The following is a 14969-nucleotide window of genomic DNA, read 5'->3' as shown; positions in this document are numbered from 1 at the left end:
ATCTTTTAGAATTACTACTTTGAAAATGTATTATGTTTGAAAACATCTCGGTCGTTATTTAATCTATTATTTATCTTCATTAACTAATTAAACAAACAAAATGTTGAACAGTTCAATAAAATCTCAAATGTTGAGAATATGTTTAAAATAATATGATACAGGGTTTTTTTATTTTTCATTTTTGGAGGATTTTTTTGTTATTCTTCTATCTATCAGAAACGTAACGAAAAGGAGGTTAAACTCTGTTCATGCTTGAAAAAGAAAGAAACCATTTAAATCAACCAACTCTTCACATCAAATAACTAGAAGTTAATTGTTGGCAAAACACATCTTCTGGTTATTATATTTCTTCAATCTCTTCATGTGCATACCCAAGTGGCTGGGCACCAAATACATTGATATACCACAGTTAGATTCTAGTTAAATGGGACACAAACTCAAGGAACAATTTTCAGCGATGTCACAGCTAATCGTAGCATCTCATGCAATACTATGTTTTACTTAGTCACAATAGCTAGTCTTAAGAAACATAAAATTGGGACAACCCATAATTCATTGTTTTAAGTTTTGCTTTATAGAAAGAGAATATCAGTTTTAAAATATGTATTCTGGAGTTATATTTATTTGATAAATGAAGATTATCTTTTTTCCTAACATTTCATAATTTATTCAAAAATTGTAAGATTGCATCATGTTATGATTTAATATGTTGTTAGAGATAATGACATAATTAAAAAGACTACATTTTCTTTTACCATTTTGAATTAGGGATGTAATGTAAGTAATCATAGCAGAGAAGTCATCCAGAGATAATGGAAATTTATAACTGATCAGGAAACAGGAAGAACAACTAAATGAGTAATCCTAAAAGGGCATTAAGCCACAGTTGTAAAAAACAGATTTATTTGTCTATTAAATTACCTGCTAACTTTGAAGCTGCATAACTGTTTAGCTGCTTTCTGACCAGGAAAAAACAGATACATCAAAAATCTGCAGTCTTCTATAAGATCAACTTGATTGTTTATTAAACATCATGTCAAATATGTTAAGATTTTCTACAATGATACTTGAATTAAAAAAAAACTTTAGAAAAAAATCACATGAAAAATATTAGTGCAATTTTGTCAAACTGAACTAGAATGTTAAATAAGCTCAACGACAAGGTTTTTTTTTCTTAATTTCTTATTTTATATTTATGTTTTCCATTAAGTATTTTTTAACTCATAGAATGAAATAGCCATCGTCCAGGAATTTTTTGAAAAGCCACATTAAAAATAATCTTTGCAATTATGTCAAATTAAAATGGCATCTTACATAAGGACAACAGTAGTTTCTGTTTTTCCTTTACTTGTGTTCTCTATTAAATCCCAAAGAATGAAATTGCTATTGTCCTGGCAATTCTAGGCATCCTGAAGTTTGTTCCTATCAATTGGCCCTTTATACCTCTCACCAGAGGCCGGATGTTTGCAGTTGCTGGCAGTTGCTGTTTGAGACACTGTTAATGGCTAATAGACCGGCAGCGCACATTGAAAGAGTGAGGCTCAGAGCCTGGGAAAGGTCCCAGCACTGAATGCCCTCACTGCTGCAGGGTAATTAGTGTATTATGTACAAGATTAGAAAATCAGTACTAAAGATATTCTATCTGACCCACTTCTTGAGAGTCATCAGAAATTATAAATGATTGTATATATTTTAAGAAAATTTAAATAATGTATAAATGGTTCCTCTCTCTTTATTAATCTAACTATATACATATTCTGCAACATTCAGTGCAATGCTCATTATTTCTATGAGCCTCCCCATTCTGGAATTTGAATATATGCAAAAATCCAAATTAAAAAAATAAATCAGCTTAGAGAACTGTTGGAAAAGCACAGCATTAGTTTATTTTCAGAGTATGAGAAAGATTTTTTTTGTTAATTATATAAACATAAAGATCATCATATTAAACTTCAAACATATTATTTAAACTAGGAACAGTAAAATAAACATCAACATTTGTCTTTGGAAAAGTTATTAAAATATAATTAAAACAGAAAAATCTTTTAGTTCTTCCCCCAGGCAAATTTAAAATACTGTGTGAAAGGAGGTCAAAGAAATATCTTATATTTGAAAAAGTGCTAATGAAATTCTCTAGTTATCTTTTTACTATTATTGACAAGAAATAAAAGTGTGGGTTGTTACTTGAGCTTTATCTTCATTTCAGTGCTGTAAGGAAAAATGAAGTTTTCTGGAAGAAAGTGGCTCTGTTTATAGCATTAACATAGTTTTAATGTTATTACATGCTGGTTACACTATTCATTATGAAAACAATGTTGACCTCTAAAATTGAGTATTAAATATACGAGTGGAAAACTTGACTAAAAAATAAAACTTCAAAATGTCATTGAAGACTGTTATTCTCAAAGATAAGACATATATATTACCTGTTTTAGTAGAGAGATTATCTTAACTAAAACTAATTGTTGCAAGTGTATTATGGTTTATAGACTATAAACAGTGCTAAGTTCCCTGGTACTTGCATATGCAAATTGAAAGAAATATATCTGTATCAAACTTTTACGTTTTCTCATGTTTAGTAAAACATTTTCTATAAAGCATATATGTCTTTTAATAATAATAATAAACACATAGGTGTCACCTGTTAAAGTGATAAAACTTTTGATGAAAAGAGGAGGAACTCAAAGAGTCAAATTTAACATTTCATCACACCTATCTTAATGAGGTTGCTGGATTGATTGTTAGTAAAAAGATAAGGACTGATTCAAAATCATGAGGTTTATCCAGTGGGCAAAAAGTCATTTGCCTTATACATCCTCTAGGGATGATTGATTTTCCCTTTAATAGAATGTAACTTTTCAGTGGGAAGAGATCTAACTTTGATTATTTTATTGAAACTACTTCACACGTTTGTATTCAATTATTGATTCTCTACTAGATTCCAAAAATAAAGTCTACAAATCATCTCCAAAGCCCTTACAGATTAAATAACTCTGCAAAGTTAAATGGTGACATAAATATATAAAAACAAGATAAATTAAACATAAAGATTTTACATTACAAGGAAAGCACACATTAAACAAAAATGCATATTCGTCAGCATCCCTATATATTTAACACCATATAAAATATTTTAAATTTATAATAAAATTAAAATCTGTAAACAACGAAATGAGTTTTTATAATGCTATCAAAAACTGAATGAAACAAAGACTGCATTTAAGTAATTGTGCTCTCTTGTAGTATTTAATTTTCTAATAGTTTCAAATTGGCTGAGACTCAAATAAATGCTATAATTAAGACTTGCTCACCTGAAAACAAATTCACTGGACTATTTTTACTTAAAAATAAACCTACTAAGTTGAAATTGCTTTAAAAACCATTGGTCTAGTTTTATCCTCATACTTTTTGCTAAAACATTTGTTCCAGAGTCTAGATCAATTCTGAAGAGAAAAATAAATGTTGTAGAAAATATACAAAATTCTCTGATGTACAAAGAAATACAAGAACTATATTTTTCAACTGAAAGAGAAATACCTTTCACAAAATAATATGTATTCATTCATTCTTTACATTAAGAAACAAATTCAGTGCCTATTTTTTAGAGATAGACATAGGGGGCCGGGAGCGGTGGCTCACGTCAGCACTTTGGGAGGCCAAGGCAGGTGGATCCTCTGAGGTCGGGAGTTTGAGATCAGCCTGACCAATATGGTGAAACCCTGTCCCTACTAAAAGTACAAAAATTAGCCAGGCATGGTGGCGCATGCCTGTAATCCCAGCTACTCAGGAGGCTGAGGCAGGAGAATGACTTGAATCTGGGAGGTGGAGGTTGCAGTGAGCTGAGATTGTGCCACTGCACTCCAGCCTGGGCGACAGAGCGAGACTCCAACTCAAAACAAAAAAAAAAAAAAAGAGATTGACATAGGAATTTTATACTGTTATATGAGTAGAAATGCACATTTTTTCCAATTTTAAGGTAATTTTCAATGATTTGAAAATTTATGAATATTATGTATATTCAAGAAAATATTATAAAGCATATTTTTTCTGCAGCAGTTCTCACATTGAACTAATAATAATAATAAGGGTTTTCTAATGACTATATTTATTAGTTTACCCATGCAGATATTAGGAAAAGGATAAATGTAAGGACTTTTCTTCAATGAAATTGTTTTCTATATACCTGTCAGCAGGAATGATGGTGATTGTAATCTATAATCCCTTTGGTCCATATGGTAGCAGTGTAGAATATATATGACTAGTGTTATTATTTCCATTTTCCAAGTTACCAAATGAAGGCTCATAGAAGGCACATGATTTAACTAACTTAGTAAATGAATAAACTTGAACCTGAGTTCTTTCATGTCCAAGTAATATATTCTTGAGTAGTTAGTAAATCTTATGTAGCATCAAATCTTAGGCCATGTCAAAATAGCATTGGATAAGATAATAGCGATCTGAATTAAATACCTGAATAAAATAAAAAATAATCTACATTAATGTAATGGAAAATTGCTCAGAAAAGGGAATAAAAAGGCTTCGATTATCTCCTCAACAGTGTATATACAGCTGATGAAATAATCAGTAACCTAAAATATATGTCAAATGAAATGTCTCAAACTTAAATAAAATGAGAGAAAAATAATTTAAAAAGGCACTGCATAGTATATAGGAACTCTGGGGTAATTTAAAAATATGCAAAATACGTGTAATTCAGATAGAAGAAGAAGAGGAGGAGGAGAAAGCAGGAGGAAGAGGAAATAGAATGGAAGAAATATTAAAATAATAATGTCTGAGAACATTCTAAAACTTATAACAGATGCCAATTCATATACCTGGGAAGCTGAGAGAATACCAAATGGGACAAATATTTAAAAATATGCACATAGGCACATCATATTCAAAACGACAAAAATTAAGACAAAGAGAAAATCTTGAAAGAAAGCAAGAACTAAACAAAGGAGGAAATGGATAAGGAGGAAAATGAATAAGAATTACAGAAAACTAATTGTCAGAAACAATGGAACCAAAAAAACAGAAAAATTAAACTACTGAAAGAAAAGTATTATCAACCCAGAATTCTACACTCAGTGAAATCATTCTTCAAAATGAAGGATAAACAAGAAGTTTCTTAGACAAACAAATGGATTTGGGGAGAATTAAATGAAGGTAAAATAAAATAGTTCTCTTATTCTTGATTGATGTCATAGATAATATTAGCAATAATATGAGTATTATTATATATTTTAATGCTCTATTGTTAGGTGCATACATGTTTAAAGTTGTTATATCTCCTTGAATAATTGGCCTCTTGATTATAGTGTAATATTTCTTTTTGTCACTGGTAATTTTTCTTATTCAAAAGTTAGCTTTGTCTAAAATTAAAATTGCCTTCATTTATTTATTTTTTTCTGATACTTTTCCTTTCCTTATGTGTATATGTGTTTCTGGCCTATATTATTTTCTGTCTTCCTGAGAAGCTTTTTCAACATTTGTTGCAGTACTGCTAGCAGTTAATTATCTCAACATACATTTTGTTTGTCTAAAAAACTTCTTATTTCTCCTTCATTTTGAAGAAATAATTAGTCAAAGTAATAATTCCAAATATGCACTGTGTCATTGCAAATATGGAAGAGTGAGATGAATGTTAGGAATGTTACAAATGATAAGAGAGGAGAATTGGGAATAGTCTATTTTAAAATAACTGCGCCACCCATGAAGCAGTATACTGTTATTTAAAAGTAATCTTGGATTGATTTTAAATATATGTCAGCTTTAGTGCAACTATTACAAAAATGTGTTAGATGTATAACTGATATGCTGAGGAGAAAGTGAAATCATATAGCATGCTAAATAAGAAATGGAAAACAGCTATAAAACAGAGGAAGAAAATGAAAGAAACAAAGGATAAGTGCAAAGAATATAAAGCAGTTACAGACATGACAGATGTTACAGCAACTATATCAATAATTACTTTAATTTTGAATGATCTAAACACACCAGTTAAAGACAGAGAATTAGGGAGTGAATACAAATAACACACAAGTATATAAAGTCTGAAAACAAGTGACTTTAAAGGAACAGGAGGAAACTTTTTGAGCAGATGGGTAGGTTCATGGCATTGAGAAATGATAGTTTGATAATTTTATGAATGTATACTTATCCCCAAACAAATCAAGTTGTATACATTATATAACAATACGTTTTCATGTGCCAATTATACTGTAATAAAGCAGCTTAAAAATAAGTTTAAAATAACTATTAAAAAGCCATTTTATATACAAGGACAGACAGATTGAAAGTGAATGGATAATAAAACACATACCATGTTAATATCAATCAAAAATATTTGGCATAGGTACATTGATTTTAGACAAAGCTAACTTTTGAATAATAAAAATTATCAGTGATAAAAAGAAATATTACATTATAATAAAGAGGCCAGTTATCCAAGGAAATATACCAACCTTAAATATGTATGTGCCTAATAATAGAGGATAAAAGATACGTGAGCAAAAACCTGACAAAATTTTAGAGAAAAATAGACAAGCTCAGTATTATATCTGAAGATTTTGAACCCCTCTTTTAGTAATTGATACATGAAGGAGTCAGAAAATTGAAGAGAAAATAGTTGACCTGAAGAGCTCTATGAAGCAATTTGGTCTAATTGGTATTTATAGAACACTGTATCCAATAAAGCAGCATAATATTCTCATCAAGCTCATAAGGAACATTTGTGAAAAGTGGTACAGACTATGCCATGAAACACATCTTAATAAATGTAAAAGAATAAAGTCATACAAAAGATATCTGTGGTACACAAAGGAAATATATTTGAAATCAATAAGCAGAGGATAGTTGAAAAATTCTGAAATATTTGCATATTAATCAAAAAATGTGTAAGTAACACCTGGGTCAAAGAAGAGTCTAAAGAGTCATTCTAGGAAGTGAGGCAGCCTATTCAGTCAGGAGCAGCTGAGAGCAGGGAGATACTTCCCAATGCATTGAAAGGAGGGTTGTTTCACTACTTCTACTGCCATCACCAGTGCCATACCCACTGTCTAGGGTCTTAAGAACCCACCCACCTGCCTGGCCCACTGCTGCCATTTCTGGTACCCAAACAAGCCACCTGAAGGCCCCAAAATTGGTCCACTGGGACCCAGTAATGCAAGTGCTAGTGTACACTACCTGGGGCCCAAGAACAGGCATGTTCAGCTCACTGCTGCCACCACTGGGGCCCAAAGACTGGCCTACTTGGTGACCTAGTCCCTAGCAAAACTTCATCATAGCCTCCACTGACAACACCCTAAGCCACTAAGATACTCATAGACATCACTGACGCTCCTTCAGGCAAATAAATCATACAGAGACTACACTACTGCATGCACTCAAAATCGAAACCAAAGTGCCCTGCCCAACCAGCATCAAAGATATATCTTCAAAAAAAGTTCCCCTCTATGAAAGCAAATTCAAAAAATTGGAAGAAGAGACTGTTACACAAGACATGCAGATATCAATATAAGAATACAGAAAAAGAAAAATTGAGGAAATGTGACATCTCCAAAGGAATGCAATAATTCTTCAGCCACAGACCCAAACAAAAAGAAATTCATAAAATCTTGAAAGAGTAAATCACAATGTTGATACTAATGAAACTCAGTAAGATAAAAGATAATTTTGAAAAACAATACAAAGAAATCAGAAAAACAAATTTGAATATGAATGAGAAATTAACCAAAGAGATAGATACCATTAAAAAGTGTCAAACAGAAATTCTGGAATGAAATATTTATTATTAAATAAAATACAAAATATATTTGAAAGTTTTAACAATAGACTAAATCAATCAGCAGAAAAGATACCCATAATGTAAATTTGTCTTTGGAAATAACCTAGTCAGATAAAAATTTAAACCAAAAGAATAAAAACAGAAAACCAAAGGTTTTGTGACACATGGGACATTACAAAACGGCCAAATACTTGAACTATCTGTATTCCAGAAGGCTAAGATGTAACAAAAGGGTAAGAAAACCTATTTCATGAAGTAATAGATGAAAATAATTTTTCAAGTCTAGCAAGAGATTTAGACATCCAAATAGAAGAGTCTCAGAAATCTCTGAAGAAATAAAATGCAAAATGGTCATCTTCATGGCATATTATAGTCAAACCATTTAAAATGAAAGACATAAAGAGAATTCTAAAAACAGCAAGAAAAATGTGTCTAATTTCCCATAAAGATACCCTCATCAGACTAAGAGTGGATTCCAAAGCAGAAACCTTACATGCCAGGAGAGAATGGGATGATATATTAAAAGTGTTGAAAGAAAAAATCTTCCAGCCAGTGTGCTATACCCAACAAAATTATCCTTCATAAACGAAAATTTTTCCCAGACAAGCAAAAGCTGACAGAATTAATCACCTAGACCAGACCTATAAGAGATTCTCAAAGGAGTCCTAAACATAAAGTAAAAGGATAAAATTTACTATCATAAAACATGAAACTACAACACTCACTGGTAAAGCAAACACACAATTAAGAAAAAGGGCTCAGATGGTACTACTATATAAAACCACCAAATCACAATGACAAACAATAAGGAAAAAAAGAGACAATGATATAGAACAGTATCACAGGAAAGAAAACCCACAAATCAATAATAATCTTGAATGTTAATGAATTAAATTATTCACTTAAAACATACAGATTGGCTGAATAGATTAAAAAACATGATCCAACTATATGCTGCCACAAGAAATGCACTTTACCTATAAAGACACATATAGTCTAAAAATAAAGAGATGGCAGAAGTTATCCCACACATATTGAAACCAGAAGTGAACAGGAGTAGCTATACTTACATCAGATAAAACAGATTTTAGGTCAAAAACAGTCAAAAAGACAAATAAGGTCATTATATAACTATAACACGATCAATCCAGCAAGGGGATATAACTATTCTAAGTATACATGCACCCAACACTGGAGTACCCAGATTCATAAAGCAAATTGCACCATATCTAAAAAGAGTAATAAACTGCAATACGACAATAGTTGGGGATTTCAACATCCCACTCTCAACATTAGACAGAACATCTAGATGGAAAATCAACAAAGGAACACTGAATTTAAACTAAACTTTAGATGAAATGGACCTAATAAACATTTAAAAAACATTTTGTCAACAAATGCAAAGTACACATTTTTCTCATCAGCACACAGAACATCCTCAAGGATAGAGCATATGTTAGACATAAAACAAGTCCCAGCAAATTAACAAAAATTAAAATTACATCAACTATCTTCTCAGACCACAATGGAATAAAACTAGAAATCAATACCAACGGTAACTTCATAAATCATACAAATACATGGAACAAAAACATGCTCCTGAATGACCACCGGATCAGTGAAGAAATGAAGATGGAAATCAAAAATATTTTTGGAAAAATTGAAAATGGAAACACAATATACCAAAACCTGTGGCATACAGCAAAAGCAGTGCTAAGAGGAAACTTTATAGCAATAAACACCTTCATTAAGAAGTAGGAAATTTTCAAAGAAACAATCCAATGATACTCATCAAAGGAGTATAAAAGCAAGAGAAAAAATAGCAAAAGATAAGTAATAAGGATAAAACAGAGCTAAATGAAACAGAATTTTTTTTTAAATCCAGCAATCCAACTACTGGGTATTTATCCGAAGGAAAAGAAATCAATATATGAAAGGGAAACATGCACTCCCATGCTTATTGCAGCATTATTAACAGTAGCAAAGATAAGGAACTAACTTGTGTCTATCAACAGACAAATGGATAAAGAAAATGTGGTACATATATATAGTAAAATATTATTCAACCACAAAAACTTATGAAATCATGTCGTTTGCAGTAGTATGAATGGAACCGGAGTTATTAAGTGAAATAACCGAGGCACAGAAAGACAAATATTGCATGTTCTCATTTATATGTGGGAGTTCGAAAAGTTGACCACATTGAGGTAGAGTGTGAAATGAATGATACCAGAAATGGGAAGGGTGTATACTGGGTGTAGCGAAGATGAAGACAGGATGCTTAATGGGTACAAACATATAGATAGGTAGAAAGAATAAATTCGAATGTTTCATAGCAGAGTCAGGTGACTATAGTTACCAACAATGTATTGCTTTTTTTTTTTTTTTAAATAGCTAGAGGAGGGGACCTGAAATGTACTCAACACATAGAAATTATAAATACTCAGGTGATAGATCCCTGAGTACCCTGACTTGATCATTACACATTCTATGCACATAACAGAATTTCACATGAAGCCCATAAATATGTATATCAATATTTATATCAATAAAAACTAGAGACACTAAAAATATTTTTTAGTAGGTGAAAATACAACTTTTAAAAATGTGTGAAATATAAAGAAAACAGTGATGAGAAGAAAATGTATAGCATTATATGCATGTATTAGAAAAGAAGAAAGGTATAAAATAATTAATCTAAACTTATACATAGTGGGCCAGGTACAGTTGCTCGCACCTGTAATAGTAGCAATTTGGGAGGCTGAGGCAGTAAGATCACTTGAGCCCAGGAGTTTGAGACCAGCCTGGGTAACATAATAAGACACTATCTATGAAAGAAAAAAATTAGGCAGGTGTGGTGGCACATGCTTATAATCCCAGCTACTGTGGGGGACTGAGTTAGGAGGATCCTTTCAGCCCAGGAAGTGGAGGCTACAGTGAGGCCTGTTTGCACCACTACACTCTAGCCTGGATGACAGAGTGAGAGCTTGTCTCAAAATAAATAAATAAACAAAGTAAACTAGAGAGGAAAGAACAATTTAAGTCTACAGTAAACAGAAAAATAAATTAGAGAAGAAATCAATAAAATTGAAAACGTGAAGAACAAGGGATAATAGCAATGAAACAAAAAACCAGTTCTTTGAAATGATTAATAAAATTGAAAAGTCTCTAGCTAGGCTAACAAAAAAATAGAGAACATACATATTACTAATATTAAAAATGAAAAAGTGGTCATCAATGCTGATTCCAGGAACAGTAAAGGAAAATAAAGAAATAACTTTATGCCTCCATATTTGATAATTAATTTGTAATAGACCAATTCCTTGAAAGACAAACTACCAAAATTGACAAAAACAGAAATAAATTATACAAACAGGCCTATATCAGTTAAATAAATTAAAATTTAATTAGTAACTATTAATCTTCTAAAAATGAAACAGAAGGCTCAGATTATTTCATTGGTAAATTCTATCAAGCATTTTAGGAAGAAATGATAACAATTATTTACAATTTCCTCCACAAAATTAAAGAAGAGGGAATACTTACTAATTCATTTTTTGAAGCTAGCATTACCCTTATTGAAACACACACACACACAAAATACTACAAGAAATGAAAACCACAGACCAATATCTCAAACGATAGATGCAAAATCCTTGACAATACATTAGCTAATTTAATCCAACACTGTACAAAAAGAATTATATACTACAGCAAAATGGTATTTATTCCAGGTATGAAAAGCAATTCAACACCAGAAATTCAGTTAATTTAATCCTCCACATCAATAGACTAAAGAACAAAAATCATATGATCATATCAATAGATGTAGCAAAAACATTCAACATAATCCAACTCTCATTAATAATTTTTTTAAATCTCAGCAAACAAAATACAGGGGAACTTCAACTTGATAAAGAACATTTGCAAAAAATCGGTAGTTATCATCTTCATTCTTAATGGTATAAAACAAGATAATTTCCTCCTAAGATTAGGAACAAGTCAGGAATGTCCCCTTTCATAACTCCCATTCGACAACATACAGAAAGCTTTAGTTAATGCGGTAAAACAAAACAAGAAAATAAAATGTATACAGCTTGGGAATGAAGAAATAAATCTTTGTTCATAAATGACATGATTGTCTATGTAGTAAATACCAAAGAATCAATAAAAATTCTCTTGGTACTAATAAGGGATCATAGCAAGGTCACATGATACAAGGGTAATATGTATAAGTTAATTGCTTTCATATAGAGCAGCAATGAATGATAACTTGAAATTAAGAACATTTGAAATTAAGAACATTAACAATAGTAGCCCAAAATGAAATCAATACATAGGAATAAATTTAACAAAATATGCAGAGGTTCTATATATAGAAAACTTCAAAGCTCTAATGAAAGAAATTAAAGATTTAGGTAAATGGATTGTGAATAGTGGGATCCAGGTTTGTTAGTCTTGTAGTGGCAATTCTGGAGTACGGCAAGGAGAAAATGCTCAAATTATCTAAACGGTAATATATTAGAGTTGGAGATATTCTAAAAACTCATGTTTAAGTCAATATACCTACAGGGGGTACATACTATGGAAATATTTACACATATATGTATATACACATGGATTAGTTGTTCTGTAAGTTAGGAAAGTGATATGGTTTGAATCTCTGTCCCCATCCAAATCTCATGTTGAATTCTACTCCCCAGTGTTGAAGGTAGGGCCTAGTGGGAGGTGATTGAATTATAAGGGTGGAGTTCTCATGAATGGTTTAACACCGTCCCCCTTAGTACAATATAGTGAGTGAGTTCTCACAAGATCTGGCTGTTTAAAAGTGTGTAGCACCTCCTCTCTTGTTCTCTCTTCCTCCTGCTCCAGCCATGTAAGATGTGCCTGCTTCCCCTTCACATTCTGCTTTCATTGAAAGTTTCCTGAGGCCTCCACAGTAACCATTATGCTTCCTTTACAGCCTGTGGAACTGTGAGTGAATTAAACATCTTTTCTTTATAAATTACCCAGTCTCAGGTAATTCGTTATAGCAGTGCGAGTATGGACGAATAGAGAACGCATAGAAGAAGTGTTACCTGAGTAGCAAAAAGCATACCTAGCACCCAATTCTTGATTTCCAATACTATTCTCCAATAGAAGGATCCTGAGTTCTTTAGAGAAATAATTCATTCTAGAACTGAAGCAGGAATGATACAAGATACTCTTGGAGCATCTTATAATGCCAGGAAGAAAGGCAGTGCTTAAAAAAAAGGAAAATAAATGAATAAATAAAAACAGCAACAACAACAGCAGCAGAAAAGCCCACTATCTCTCCATTTATGGGTGCATGTCAAAGGGACATAGGAGCCCACTGAAAAATTTCCCAATTCAAAGGAATTTGAGCAACAAAATAAAGCAGTATTAAACTATAACCCAGGGTATAAAATAAACACTCATGAGTTTATATAGATATCAATAAATTGTGGAATGAATGAACAAATGGTAGTAATATGGTTTTGCTCTGTGTCCCCACCCAAATCTCATCTCAAATTGTAATCCCAATGTGTTGAGGGAGGGATCTGGTGGGAGGTGATTGGATCATGGGGTAGGCTTCCCCCATGTTTTTCTCATGATTGAGATCTGATGGTTTTAAAAATGGCAGTTTCCCCTGTCCACTCTCTCTCCTGCTACCATGTAAGACGTGCCTTGCTTCCCGCTCTCCCTCCACTATGATTGTAATTTTCCTGAGGCCTTCCCAGCCATGCAGAACTGTGAATCAATTAAACCTTCTTTCTTTATAAATTACTCAGTCTCAGGTAGTGTCTTTATAGCAGTGTGAAAACAGACTAATACAGGTAGTGAACAGACAAATCTCCCTTGCAGAAGAAATCTTAATAATGTAGCCACTCTGCCCACAAGGAGTAAATCTTCACTGATGAAGAGTGAGCTGCTGATAGAGACTTTTTTTCAAGAATTTCAACTTAGAATTGAGGCAATGGAAAGAATAACCTTACTGTGGAGAAACTGGACAAACACAATCTCAGCCAGATGATCAAAGTCAATATTAACTATTGGTAAGTTATGTTAATATGATGTACCCTTGATGTGATGTGATAACAATGGCAATTCTGTGATTTTACTCCCCAAAATCCATACACCAGTCTGATAATGAAAGAAACATCAGACAAATTTCAATCAAGAAATATTCTACAAAATACCTACTCAAGACTCTCATGTTCATAAAAAACCAGGAAAGTCTGAGAAACTGACATAGCCAAGAGAAGGCTGAGGAGATATGAAAACTGGATATCTTGGATGATATCTCAGATCATAAATAGACATTAGATGTAAACTACAGAAATCTGAATAAATGATGGACTTTGATTAATAACAATTAATCAATATTGGTTCATTAATTGTGACAAGTTTACCATAGAAAAATCTATAATATTATTAACATGAGAAACTTGCTGTGGGCTATATGGGAACTTTCTACATCGGGGGTCACCAACTCCCAGGCCTCAGACTGGTAGCGATCCTTTCAGGAACTGGGCTGCACAGCAGTACGTGAGCAATGGGTAAGCCTGCATTACTCCCTGAGCTCTGCCTACTGTCAGATCAGCGGTGGCATTAGATTCTCGTAGGAGTGTAAACCCTATTGAGAACTGCACATGCCAGGGATCTAGGTTGTGCACTCCTTGTAAGAATCTAAAGCCTGATGATCTGAGGGGGGACAATTTCACTCCCAAACTACCCCACCACCTCTGCCACCCCCATCCCCACCTCCACCCCCAGTCTGTGGAAAAACTATCTTCCCTGAAACCAGTCCCTGGTGCCAAAAAGTTTGGGGACCCTGCTCTACGTGATCTTCTCAATTTTTCTTAAATCTAAAATTGTTCTGAAAAATAGAGTGTAAGTAATAAAATATACTCACCAATTAACATGATACATATTACATTGTTTAAAAGTGTTTTGTTCTTCAAAGCAAATTAAACTATTTTATATAGTACACATGATTCTCCTGGCTCTGAAAGGGAAACAGGGATATCTAATGGCAGATCAGGATTAAACAACAAATACTGAAAATATTAAAAGGAAAATATCTGTCATACTGCAGCAGTTAGGGACAATGTGAGCACTAAGTTTGTTTTTATATAGTTTTACACAGTTGTCTCTGAGCCAAAGTGTTCTGGGAAAG

General features: G+C 32.5%; 1 annotated feature.

Moving 5' to 3' along the window:
• Positions 1127 to 1787: an enhancer, noted in NCBI's record as "OCT4-NANOG hESC enhancer chr13:81519350-81520010 (GRCh37/hg19 assembly coordinates)". NCBI's record gives its function as "activates a minimal SCP1, AML or CMV promoter by ChIP-STARR-seq in naive H9 embryonic stem cells {active_cell/tissue: H9 hESC(naive)}" and the evidence as "EXISTENCE:reporter gene assay evidence [ECO:0000049][PMID:30033119]".

The sequence above is a fragment of the Homo sapiens genome, chromosome 13 (genome assembly GCF_000001405.40).
Source record: "Homo sapiens chromosome 13, GRCh38.p14 Primary Assembly".
NCBI classification, from domain to species: Eukaryota; Metazoa; Chordata; class Mammalia; order Primates; family Hominidae; genus Homo; species Homo sapiens.
The sequence above is the reverse complement of the archived record's forward strand: the minus strand, read 5'-3'. Positions and strand labels throughout refer to the sequence as shown.